The sequence below is a fragment of the Homo sapiens genome, chromosome 2 (genome assembly GCF_000001405.40).
Source record: "Homo sapiens chromosome 2, GRCh38.p14 Primary Assembly".
Classification (NCBI taxonomy): Eukaryota; Metazoa; Chordata; class Mammalia; order Primates; family Hominidae; genus Homo; species Homo sapiens.
The window spans coordinates 10,469,053-10,481,811 of record NC_000002.12 but is presented as its reverse complement, the minus strand read 5'-3'; the positions used below and the strand labels follow the sequence as shown (position 1 = coordinate 10,481,811).

At 51.1% G+C, this 12,759-nt stretch overlaps 5 annotated features.

Annotated features, from left to right (window-relative positions):
• Positions 3,432-3,622: a silencer, noted in NCBI's record as "fragment chr2:10618316-10618506 (GRCh37/hg19 assembly coordinates)". NCBI's record gives its function as "represses an EF-1alpha promoter that drives an FKBP-Casp9 reporter gene in an ReSE screen in K562 erythroleukemia cells {active_cell/tissue: K562}" and the evidence as "EXISTENCE:reporter gene assay evidence [ECO:0000049][PMID:32094911]".
• Positions 3,614-4,317: an enhancer, noted in NCBI's record as "NANOG-H3K27ac-H3K4me1 hESC enhancer chr2:10617621-10618324 (GRCh37/hg19 assembly coordinates)". NCBI's record gives its function as "activates a minimal SCP1, AML or CMV promoter by ChIP-STARR-seq in naive and primed H9 embryonic stem cells {active_cell/tissue: H9 hESC(naive and primed)}" and the evidence as "EXISTENCE:reporter gene assay evidence [ECO:0000049][PMID:30033119]".
• Positions 4,318-5,021: an enhancer, noted in NCBI's record as "H3K27ac-H3K4me1 hESC enhancer chr2:10616917-10617620 (GRCh37/hg19 assembly coordinates)". NCBI's record gives its function as "activates a minimal SCP1, AML or CMV promoter by ChIP-STARR-seq in naive H9 embryonic stem cells {active_cell/tissue: H9 hESC(naive)}" and the evidence as "EXISTENCE:reporter gene assay evidence [ECO:0000049][PMID:30033119]".
• Positions 11,679-12,193: an enhancer, noted in NCBI's record as "H3K4me1 hESC enhancer chr2:10609745-10610259 (GRCh37/hg19 assembly coordinates)". NCBI's record gives its function as "activates a minimal SCP1, AML or CMV promoter by ChIP-STARR-seq in primed H9 embryonic stem cells {active_cell/tissue: H9 hESC(primed)}" and the evidence as "EXISTENCE:reporter gene assay evidence [ECO:0000049][PMID:30033119]".
• Positions 12,194-12,708: an enhancer, noted in NCBI's record as "H3K4me1 hESC enhancer chr2:10609230-10609744 (GRCh37/hg19 assembly coordinates)". NCBI's record gives its function as "activates a minimal SCP1, AML or CMV promoter by ChIP-STARR-seq in primed H9 embryonic stem cells {active_cell/tissue: H9 hESC(primed)}" and the evidence as "EXISTENCE:reporter gene assay evidence [ECO:0000049][PMID:30033119]".

Here is a 12,759-nt window from a genome sequence, read left to right as displayed (position 1 = left end):
TCCGTAACCCCGCCAGCTCCCCAGCCCCCAGCTTCAGTTCCATGACTGGGCTTTGTTCCTATGAGCTTGCCCTGTGCCCCAGTTATCTATTGGTAGGTTACAAATACTCCCAAAACTCAGTGGCTTCCGACAGTTGTCATGTTCACTCATGATTCTGTGTGTTAGTGATGTGAGCTGGGCTCAGTGGCATCTTCCTTCTGGGCTGAGCTGAACTTGGCTGCTCTAGGCTTGGCGTCACTCACCTGTTTGGGGTCTGCGTCTATGTGGTCTCTCATCCTCCAACAGGGGGGCTGGAAGGAAAGGGAGGAGCTCACCTGTGCACAAAAGCATCAGATCAATAAGGGCCAGGCAAGTCAACAACTCAGGCCACAGGTCACAGGTCTTCAGTGAGCTGGGGAAGACTGCATGGGATGAGTGTGTTGTGCCCAGGAGCCCTTGTCCCTCTTCCTATTTGGGCTAATGATTGACAACCTGACTTCCGTGCCCAGGGTGGTCAAGATTCCCCTGTGACCCCTGGAGAGTGAAGGGCCATGTGCCTCTGATGTGTCCCTCCTCAAAGAGGCACAGATCTTTTCTGGTGCTGAATAACAGCAGTACCAATGAAGATGCAGGCCTGGTGTGGGGGTTCCCACTGAAGATCCCAGCACTTCAAGAGGCCAAGGTGGGAGAATCACTAGAGGCCAGGAGACCAGCCTGGGCAACATAGTGAGACCCTGTCTCAAGAATGAACAAACCAAAGAAAGAAGGAAAGAAAAGAAGGAAGGGACAGAAAGAAAATAAATTAGCCAGGCATGGAGGATTACTAGAGACTAGGAGACTAGGCTGGGCAACACAGTGAGACCCTGTCTCTACAAAAGAAAGAAAGAGAGAAAGAGAGAGAGAGAAAGAAAGAAAGGGAGAAAGAGAGAGAGGGAGGGAGGGTGGAGGGAGGGAAAGAGAGAGAGAAGGAAGGAAGGAAGGAGAGAGAGAAAAAGAAAGAAAGAGAGAGAGAGAGAAAAGACAGAAAGAGAGAAGGAGAAAAAGAAAGAAAGAGAGAGGAAGAGAGAAAGAAATAAAGGTAGAAAAAGAAAGAGAAGGAAAGAAGGAGAAAGAGAAAAAAAGAAAGAGAAAGAGAGATAAAGAGAGAAAGAAAGAAAGAGAAAGAGATAAAGAAAGGACGGAAGGAAGGAGAGAGAAAGAAAGAGAGAAAGAGAGAGAAAGGAAGAAAGGAAGGAAGGAAGGAGAGAAAAAGAGAGAAAAGAAAGAGAGAAAGAAAGAAAGAGATGGAAGGAAAGAGAAAGAAAGAGAAAGAAAGGAGAGAGAGAGAAAAGAAAGGGAGAAAGAAAGAGGAAGAAAGGAAGGAAGGAAGAAAGGAAGGAGAGAGAGAGAAAGAAAAAGAAAGAAACGGAGAAAGGAAGAAAAGAGGGAGAAAGAGAGAGAAAGGAAGGAAGGAGAAAGAGAAAGAAAGAGAGAGGGAGGGAGGGAAGGAAGAAAGGAAGGAAGGAAAGAGAGAGAAAGAGGAAGGAAGGAAGGAAGGGAGGGAGGGAAAAAGAAGAGAAGAGAAGAGAAAAGAAAAGAAAAGAAAAGAAAAGAAAACTAGCCAGGCATGATAGCATGCACCTATAGTCTCAGCTATTCAGGAGGCTGAGGTGGGAGTATTGTTTGAGCCCAGGAGTTCAAGGTTTCAGTGAGCTATGATCACACCACTGCACTTCAGCCTGAGTGACAGAATGAAACCCTGTCTCAAAATAATAATACAAATGTAATAATAATGCAGATGCCTCTATAGTCTGCTCTGTGCCGTGCATCGCACCACTTAGATATGTGGGCCACTGGGGCCCCATCTCAGCTCTGGGCTTACAAGCTCTGTCATGGCCCCGGCCAATGAACACTTCATTTCATTTTCTCATTTGTTAGCTGGTGACCATAACACACACCTCCTAAGTCTATGCTGAGTGAGGTATCTCAGGCACTTAGCACAGTGTCTGGTACTTAGCAAGTACTTGTAAACATTATGATTATTGAAAAGTGCGTCAATGCTCATTCATTGACCACGCAAGGTGACGCATGGGTTCAACAGCACTGCTTCACATTCATGTTTATCTCGTTCTCTCTGTTCCCCGATAACCTGCACAGGAGTTGATGGATGTAGGATCCCTTTATGCTACTAAAGGGGATCATGATACATGACAGGGCTAATTTGTGGGGCATTTGGTCATCTTGAAGCAAAATGGCAGCTGATGCGTGTTTTCAAATGAGCATATCTGCTGAGGCCGAACTGAGTGGGGTCGGGGGCTCCAGAATTACTAAATCGTGACTGTTCTTACAGAAAACTTCAAGTAGCAACTTTAACCAAGAGGTGGCCGAGACCCTGCCTGAAGCCATTTGTGTGACTATTGCTGTTGGCTCTAAATTCATCTCGTCCGTAACCAGAGAAATGCATTTCTACTACCTCAAGGGGAAGGCAACCTCCATTTTTCTGTTCATAAAAAATTTTTAGTTATTTTCTGAATTGAAACTTCCAGGAGAATATTCCACAGGTGCAAGGTATATGACCTTTATAATCGCAGCGCTAGTGTTTCCTCTCTTGCGGTAGGAGCGCCTGTACTCACGTCAATAAACATTTGCCTTCTCCTCTTCCCTCTCTGGTCCTTGTGTTTCTGCCATTACAAAGCCGGAAGGGCAGCGGGGTCACCAGCTGTCATGAGGAAGGGGGGCCGAGCACGCCCCGTCACTGGTGGGCGGGGAGACATGGGCATGCACACTGTGGGTTTTGGTGGGGTTGGTGTGTGGGGTGCACACCCACATGCTGCTGTGCGGACTTGTTCCCATGAAATGAGTCTTTCATGGTGGGGAGGGAATATCCATCTATTTGATTGTATGCCTGTCAGCATTGTTCTAGGGAGAGAATATTCTAGAGTGGTGTCAGCAGACACAGTCACCACAAAGCGTCAGCTGAGGGACGCACCTTCATCTCCCTCAGGCAGCTGAGCCATTACTTCCTGTTCCCCCTATGCTGCCCGCACAATTCCATTCCTTTATTCCTCCATCTATTCGATATTTATCGGACCTCTTCTGTGGGGGGATACACAGACAACAGGCCCAGGTCCCACCTTAAGAAGTTCACCTTTGGGGAGGGGAGAGGGGAGAAAGAAAAGCAAATGAAGGACGGGTGCCCCAGCATCAGGCAGACAGAACACCCGATTCAGCCTGGAGACAGGGAGGGCTTCCAGGGTGGGTTGACACCGCCACTGGGACTCAAAGGACGAATAGATCCCACAAAAAAGTCGTATGATGTACAAACGTTCGGAGGAGGGACAGGGCGCAGGCTCAGGGCCCCTCAGCAGCACACAGGGCCGTGGCCACACTGCACCATGACTGCGTGTGCTGCTGTGCCTCCCACCCACTGGACACCAGCTCCTGGAGGCCCTAGGTGGCCTCTCCCTCATCTGTGACATCCCCGGCACCTGGCACTGGTGAGGCCACTTAGCGAATGGTGAGTGACTCAAACGACGGCCATCATGCAGCTGACCCAGCCTAGGCAACACGGTCATGCGAAGGGCCTTGCCATCCTTCCTTCCATGGAACCCCCCCGGGCCTTGGGATTATGTCTCTCAGTGCCTGAGGGGGGTCTCAGGCACCACCTCCCTCAAAGCCCCAAGACCTTTCTTATCTCTGCACCAAGTCACAGAAACAACAGGGGGTCCTCACAGCCATTGTGAGAATGTTGAAAACGCAGACTTTTAACCCCATGACACCAGGGCCACCTGCAGAGGAGAGACACGCTTCTCCTCTGCCGTCTGTCCACCCGTGGCAAAGGAAGACAGATGGGTGGAGCATCACACCCTCTGCAAAAAAAAGAGTCTTTGATCACAGAAAAATGTTTGGTAAACTTCTCCAGAGTTAAACTAATTGGTTTGGGGCAGATCTAATCTCCTGGATGCTTTGCTGCTCAATTAGTACTGGTCAAAATGTTTGAAGTTCAGAGAGCGGCTTCTCAGAGGACAAGCCCATTTGAATAATTAGCATCACGGGGTGTTCCCAACACGGCCGACCCTCCTGGGGAGATGAAAGAGACACCTCCCCTATACGTGCTCTGGCTCCACTGCCAATGGAGACCTCTGCAAAGCTTGAAGAGCAGGTGGCCTCTGCCCTTCCGTTGAAAACTGAGTGTGGGAGGGAGCCTGTTCCAGGCCACAGCCTGGCAGGAAGAGAGCAGGCTCAGAGGGGAGGCCCTCTCCCTCTTCTGAATGTTTGCACATCACACGACTTCTTTTCTGTGGGATCTACTCATCCTTCTAGTCCCAGGGGCAGTGTCAACTCACCCAGGAAGGCTTCCCTTTCCCCAGGCTGAACCACGCGTCCTGTCTGCCCCTGTGCTGCCAGGCCCGGGCACCCATGCTTTGCTTGCTTTTCTTTCTCTCCTCCCCACTCTCCAAATGTGAGCTCCTTAAGGTGCGACCTGGGCCCATTGTGTACCACACCATAGTTATTGATAAGTATTGAAGAGATGAATGGATGAAGGAATGAAAGAGTGAATGAATGAATGAAATTTGTGTAGGCGGCACCAGGGGAACAGGAAATAACAGCAAAGACGTCTGAGGGAGATGGAGGTGCACTGTTTAGCACTGTTGACACCGTGGGCTGGATTGTTCCTTGCTGTGGGGCCTGTCCTCACCTTATGAGACGTGTGGCAGCAGCCCTGGCCTCCACCCACCAGACGCAGGAGCGCACACCTTCTCCCCACCATGACAACCAAAAAGATCCTCAGACATTGCCAGATCACCCCAGTTGAGAACTACTAGGCTAGACCAACAACTTGTCTTTTTTTGGGTCTGAACAAAACATGGTACCAATAGCTTCAATTCAGAAAAGGTTTCCCTTCTCCGGCCAGCACCTGTCTCTTTCCCACCCTGTAGTGATAAGAGGGAGATTTAAAAACTGCAATTCTTTTTTTTTTTTTTTTTTTTTTTGAGCGGGAGTTTCACTCTGCTGCCCAGGCTGGAGTGCAGTGGCATGAAAGCGGCTCACTGTAGCCTCCGCCTATTTAGCATTTTTAGTAGAGACAGGGTTGCCAGGCTGGTCTCGAACTCCTGACCTCAGAAGATCCACCCGCCTCGATCTCCCAAAGTGCTGGGATTGCAAGCATGAGCCACCGAGCCCAGCCTTAAATTCCAATTCTTAGTGACTAATTTGCAGTATCCCAGCCCATTTTGAGTTGTGTCTCCCGGGCTTTGAATCCAGGCTATGTCACTCACAAAGGCCATTTCATCTCTCAGAGCCTCGGCATCTCCACCACAAAGTATGAAGAGTGCCAATCCCATTTCTACAGCGGGCAGTCCATGAAATCACGTGGGTGGTGCCCCCACACAGTAGGGCTTGCACATGGCAGCTACGGTACTGTGTCTGCGCTTCTCCCTTCAGGAGGAGGGCCTTCCCAGGGTATGAGAGTCTAACCTGCTACCAAGCCCTTCAACGGTTGGCATAATTCAGTTCATTCAAAGCCTGTCTTGCCCACTTAGAAAGAGCCAGAGGCTGCCATGCTCTCTCACAGGTGCCTGGGCTCAGGGCAACAGTGTGACCCTTGGGGCCAGTCAAGCCAGACCCAACCTCCAGCCCTACCATTGCCCAGCATGTCCAGGGCTGGTCATTCAGCATCCCGCTCGCCTGAGGAAACAGGATTAACAAGCCTCCCCTCACAAGGTCTCGGGAGGATTAAACGAGTCCTTAGGTTCACAGATGCTGTGGAATTATTAACTGTGGCTCAGTCGGTGTGGCGAGGCCAAAGCCCAGAAGGCTGGGATGGGAACGTGAGTACAATTCCTTCAGGGAGGGGCCCTGGGAGGCCCCGGGCAGCTTCCCCTCTGGCGTGGCTTGTTAGACCGGCACAAGCTGGGTGTAGGTCTGTTAACTGCGCACCAGATCGGCGACCCTCGGCTTCCAGAACCGAGTATATCAGCATGAAGGGACAGGCATGTTCAGACATGGGGTTGCTTTTTAAGCAAGAAAATGTTCTTCCAAACGAAACCAGCGGCAGCACTGGAGATCTCGGCGGTCTCTTTCGTGCCCAAATGCGGAGATTTTTGTCTTTTCTGAAATCAAGCACCCACAGCCCTCTCCTTGCGGCAGTGAGAACCCCGAGGCCCATCGAGACTCATCCTGTCCACTGCGCACAGCACGCCTGGGGTCTACGAGGCCTCAGGCCCGGCCCAGGCCTCCTGCCACTGTGCTCGGATGAACCCTGGTCTCCAGGTCCACGGGGAGGACAGGTCTTTCCAAGGCTGCTGGCTGAGCCACATGTGTGCAGCCCTCCCCGCCCTGGGCCGGGGGTAGGGTTCCCTGGGGACCTCACACAGCCCCCCCTCCCCCGTGGCCAGCCCTGAGAATGAGAGCTAGAAATGCCCTGAGCAGCCCTTAGGTCCATCAGCCCCCTTCACAGACAAGCGTCCAGTGGCTGGCACACAGTTCCCGCTGGACCCCCAGCCCCCACGCAGAGGTGACGGAACCTCTAGGCACTCCCCAGAGGGGCTGCCGAGAGTGGGTGTGGGGAGACCGTGAGTGTGGAGCCAGGAGACCGCCGAGGCCTTACTGTGTGGCCTTGGGTGAGCCGCCTGACCGCCGTGAGCCTCTGGGTCCCCCTCTGTGGAAGAGGGACTCCGTTCTACAGATGTCATTGCAGGACTGGGAGAGGTTGCGTGACAGTGGGACAGGCGCACTTCCTGCACACAACGGAGATCCAAACGGCAGCCCCTGTTCCTTCTGATGTGGCATATTTAGGACGCAGCTGCATAAAGGTAGAAGACCAGTCAGCCGAAGGCCAGCGCATGGGAAGCAAGAGGGTGGAAGAAAGATCATGCACTCTCCTGGGGAACCCCTTCCTCCCAACACAGACCCCAAAGAGGAGAGGCCCTGCCCTCTGGCCCCACCAGGCGGCTGCCTTTCCCTCTCCCTCAGTTGAGGGATCCTCCTCTGTGGCCTCCTGAGAGGCTCCTCAGCCAGGATTTCTATGCTGATGATCACTTTGGCTTCTGGTCAACACTGGTTTTGCAGAAGAAAAAACGGAGGGTCTGGGGGGCCATCAAAAGCAGAGCCAGTGGGAAAGGACCTTGAGCAGCCAGGCCCAGGGAGCAAGCCAGTCCTCGGCTTCGGTACCCTCTTAAGAAAGCACTTAGGCCTCTCCGAGACCGTTTTTCTCTTCTGTAAAATGATACCATCTCAAAAGCCCTTCCAGGCCGGGTGCGGTGGCTCACGTCTGTAATCCCAGCACTTTGGGAAGCCCTGAGCTCAGGAGTTCAAGACCAGCCTAGGCAACATGGTGAGACTCCATCTCTCCAAAAATAAGAAATTAAAAATGTTTAAAGCCCTTTCCGATGCTAAAATGTGGTTATTTTGATCCTCATATTCCTGGAGTCGAGGAACACGGGTTCCCTCTCTCTGGCACATCTGTGTCAGCAGCTCCGGGTGGCCTGTCCCTGCAGAGGTTGTGGGTGTGGAGTGCGGCACCAACTCTGGGTGCCCGTACTGGGGGGGAAGTTCACAACCCCGCTGGCCTGGTCTCAGGCTGTTTGTCCCTCCCTGGCTCTTTGTCACCTGCCCAGGAATGCCGGCACTGGTGGGAGATGTTGGAGCCGCTCAAGGCTCTTTGTTGCGGCCGGGCGCCGTGGCTCACGCCTATAATCCCAGCACTTTGGGAGGCCGAGGCGGTCGGATCATGAGGTTAGGAGATCGAGACCATCCTGGCTAACACGGTGAAACCCCATCTCTACTAAAAATACAAAAAATTAGCCGGGCATGGTGGCGGGCACCTGTAGTCCCAGCTACTCGGGAGGCTGAGGCAGGAGAATGGTGTGAATCCAGGAGGCGGAGCTTGCAGTGAGCCGAGATCGCGCCACTGCACTCCAGCCTGGACGACAGAGCGAGACTCCGTCTCAAAAAAAAAAAAAAAAAAAAAGCCTCTTGTTGCCAGGTGTTTGCAAAGCTCGTGTTTCCTGCACAGATCCTAGCAGAGATTGCTTGGAGTACTTGGAATATGGAGGGACAGATTGCATCGATGTATTCTATCCTGTTACAGATTTTATCTTTCTCTCTTTTTTCATAAAAAGGGAATTTAGTAGAAAAGTATTTCTTCAAAGTTGAAGGTCAAATTAAGATCTTGACATTTTATCTCCTATCTCACAGTGAAGAATTCATGAAATAAGACAGAAAAAGCACACGGCAAGGTGCTGGCCCCAAGCAGAGGTGAGGCAGGTCCTCCCGGGGCTGGGGATTTCCACACCTGGGAGGCTGGCTAAGCACTGACCCATGAGTCCTCAGGACACCCTGGGGGGAGGTTCTTGTTTTCCAGATAAGAAGATAAATTTTAAAAATCCTGCAGTCACAGACAGCAAGTGGCAAAACTGAGATCTGAACCAATGTCTTCCACATGGAGAAAAGTGACTGGGGCTACTGGCTCTTTAGCTTCTGTAGCTCAGAGGAAGCAACTCAGGTGGGCTGGGACCCCCGCGCTTGCTTCAGGCATCTGCTCTCTGAGGACCCCACTTTCAGGTTTGCCTCTGCACGTCCCCAGTAGAGCAGGAGCCTCTCCCCAGATACATGGATCCCAGAATGAGCCAGACAAAGATGCCTTTTACTTACCCATTGGTGCCCATTCATTTCATGTTATAATTTTCTAATCCAAATGTACTTTTGAAATTTTTCAGACAAGCTGGGAAATTATAGACTATTCTGCCCACCCTGTATTCTTCCATTTCTCTGTCCATCTAATATACAAAAGAATAATACAAATCATTTTTTGGGCCAGAAACGGTGGCTCATGCCTGTAATGCCAGCACTTTGGGAGACCAAGGCAGGAAGATCGCTTGAGCTCAGGAGTTTGAGACTAGCCTGGCCAACATGTGAAACCCTGTTTCTACTAAAAATACAAAAAAATTAGCTGGGCATGGTGGCGTGCACCTGGGGTCCCAGCTACTCGAGAGGCTGAGGTAGGAGGATGGCTTGAGCCTGGAAGGGGGAGGTTGCAGTGAGCTGCAATGGCGCTACTGCACTCCAGCCTGGGAGACAACGAAAGACTCATTCTCAAAAAATATATAAAAATAAAAATCATTTCTCCCCCAGTATCAGGTGCTTTGCATGCATTGCCTAGGAGCTCAGTTCTAGTGTCCACCCCAAACCCCAGAGTGAAACAACCTAGGCCTTCACCCCAAGCCCGTGGTCACTCACGCTGCCTCTCTGTCCCCCTTAGAACCATCCTAAAGGTATGGGCTTGCTCTACCCATCCCTGGCACCTAATTAAACCTGTGGAAAGGCTTCCAGGGGACATGAAAGGGACTAGCCATACAAAACTTCCCATATAAAGGGCTTCTCATCTTTAAAGCTCCATCTATCTAAATAGATAGATAGATATCTATCATCTATTAATATTTTTTAAAGAAGGTAATTGAGTCTCCCTACATAGTTCACAGGCAGATGGAGACGATCTTTCCTTTTTTCTTGTGAAGAAAGAAGCCTAGAGATGGAGGAAGGGGGGCTTTCTTGGGGAGACAGGTGTTCAAACATGAACTAGAATGCAGATAGCAGCAGCTCATTTTTCCTTTCAAACAGCCTGATCCAGCCTTTCTCTAGGTTACCCCTTGTGGTTACAACTCAAATCTGCTTAAAGATGCCCTGCCAAGGGGAATTAGAAGGTCACCAAGCATTCCTCAGAGCTGGAAAGCTCTAGAGCTCCTCCAAGGTTCCAGGGCTGGCCTTTCTCTCCCCTCGCATGATGCTGGGGTGCTGATACTTGCCTCCCAGGGCTGCTGTGGGACTCCAAGGGCTAACTCAAGGAGAGTCCCTAACACAGGCCTGGCACAAAGAGACACGTTATGACCCTTTGCTGGCCTACCACTGAAATCTGTAATTATCAAGCTGCATTGATTATTGGCAAGGAGAAAATATGTTATAATTTTTAAAAATTATGTAAATTATCTTCTAGACTTAAAAAAAACTTTCTATGACTATATCTGCCTCTGTTTCTGCTTGTATAGAAATTAAAATTTTGCCTTTTCCTGTGAAATTATGTTTTATAGCTTACTGGCTTGTGATAATAATCCTTTGTACTTTTGCAGGGCCTTTTATCTGGGAATCTCAAAGCACTTCATAAACTTTAATTAATTCTTGCAACAAGCCCCCTGAGGTAGGTAAATATTATTATCCCCATTTTACAGATAAGGGGAGTGAGACACTGAGAAGTTAAGTAATTTGCCGAAGGCCCCAAAGCAGTTAGTAGCTAAGTCTGAACAAGACCGCAAGTCGACTGTCTCAGGCCTGGCTTGGCCCCACGGGGGCCGCCCTGCTGGTTTCCCCGCCCCTCCCCAGGACGTGATTGACAGGGAGACCTCAATCAGTTGCAGCGTCTGTGTTAAATACATGTTGTACGGCTTACAGGCGTTATGGGGAGTTATCCGAGCTGACTCAGAAGTTTCACCCTGGTACTGGCTTATCTTCATGTGAGCTGAGCAAAGCCTGCACACCCATTTCTCAGGTCAGAATGCTTCTGCTCCTCAACCCTCTCGCTTGGAAAACTCTCACTTCCCTCATACTTGGACTCAACCAAGCATCTGCTGTGTGCCGAGCACGGGGCTCGTGGCTTTTTTTTGCCTGTGCTGTCTCCTCGAAATACATTCTTAAGACAACCCTATGAGTGACTGTTGTTATCCCCATTTTACAGATGAGGAAAATGGAGGCTCTGAAAGTGAAGTGGCATATTTGGGGTCACACAGGAGAACTAGGATTCCAACCATGTTCTGGCTTGAAGTTGATGCTCTTGTCACTCAGCCAGCTGACACCTGGTACCCGGTTGTGTTGCAGGAAGGCTTATTAATCCTACAATGGCATTTCCAGAGGACGTTGGTAAGTGAGTGAAGGGCTTCCATTTTAACCGTGAGCCAGGCTGAGCTAATAGTTTCTGTTGTTGGGTGCATGGATTAATAGGCGACTCTCCTAGGAGAGTGTGCGCGGTTCCAGAACGGGGCACAGTTGCCCCTGAGAGACCCCTTGCTGATGGCTCTCCTTGTCTTACTCAACAGCCTCACCACCACCAGCAAAGCTCCTTCCCTTGACCTGGAGACACTGAAGCGGCTCCGGATGCTTTGCTCTTTCCTCCGACATGACTGTTGAAGTCAGACAAGCCTGGATTTGAACTCTGGTTCTGTACCCATTGTGGTTAATCTTGGGCAAGTTCCAACCTCTCCCTGCCTCAGTTTCCTCATTAGTAAAAGGAGCTGTGGCAAGGATCAAATGAGTTAACGAACACGAAATCCCACTGCACAGAGCCCCACACGTGGCAAGGGCTCCATCAGGGTCCCCATCTGCTCTGCCATTCCTGTCCCGCCAGCTGCCTGCATTCTGTCCTAGCAGAGCCGACTGAGGAGCACCAGTGCTATCCAATTCTTTCCTCTGTTGCTTTTGCCAAAATCCTGGCTGGGACTGCGGCTCTCCTTCACCCAGGTCATGACAACACCCAAGAGCAGTCACTACAGCTGCTCCTGCTATGTGACAGCTCGGAGAGACAGAGGATTAGCTGGGGTTACCCCACTGTGGATATGTCATGCTTGTCTCTTTCAGATCCTGCTAAAGTGGAGTGTTGAACTTTAAGGTGCTTCCTGCCTCCAAGCCTGCAAGCCTGGATCTCCCAGGATTCTCTTCTGCCCCTGACAGCGTTAGCATTGCAAGCGCAGCCTTGGGGAATGAAGTGTCCCTTCCCAGTGCCGCTGAGAGAGGGGCAAGAACTTGGGTGCAGTCCCATGGCCTGAATGAACGGTGTTTCTCAGGCATGGCAAATCTGAAAGGAATCAACACATTTTTCTGTTGGATTCTCTCTTTAAAAATGGGAATGGCGGCACAAGCACATTTCAGTTCGAACAGGTTCTTGGACGCCAGCTCACCTGCAGGCTCCTGTGTTCTTTCATGCTCCTCCATCCGCTCTTCCTTTCAGGCCCTAAGAATGCGCCCCTAGCACTGGGGCCTGGAGCACAGGCCCCCACATACTGCCTGCAGCTCAGCCCTGAAATGACATTAGCTGGGGGTGTTGGAGCCAGCCCGGCCACCAGGCCTCTTAGACTGGTTGTCTGGGACACTGCCTGCAGGACAAGCCCTCAGCCCTTTCCTTCCCCTCACTGGACTGTGGGCACGACAGGGAAAGCATGTCCCATGTGCTAACTTTGCCCAGAGGTGGCCTGTCCAGCCCCCTCTCCAGGTGACCTTGCCCCATAGGGGGAAAAGGTACATGCCGCTACCGCTGCAGACTTCTGGGTACTTCTACCAGGCAGATGGCCCTGCCACCAGGAGCCAGGGGCTGGCCACCAACCTGGTGCTCCAGAGTGCACAAGGCCTCCCCTGGTCTTGGGCCCCCTCACCCCATCAGTCTGCTGTCCTCTCAGCCTCCTGATCTGGGTTGGTCTGAGCCAGTCCCTCAGACCCTGACCAGGTGGAATTTCTGAGCCTGGCCTTGGCCAATCCCACCCAAATCTGGCCCCGAGGGCCTGTCCTCCCCTTTCTTGGGCTGTCTGCCTTCCTAGACAGGCCTTTCTTATTTCAACAGCAGCGGAATTGCATAAATATTTGCCAAGTCCATGTGTCTAGACAACCTTGAGGATGTCCCACAATGGAGCATGGAATCCCTCCACAAATGGGAATTAGACTTCTTCACTGCCAGGGGTCCTCCTAGAAGTTTTAAGACCATCACAGAGGGCAACTGTAAAAGAATGAGGATGGTGTGTTTGTGTGTGTGTGCACACACCT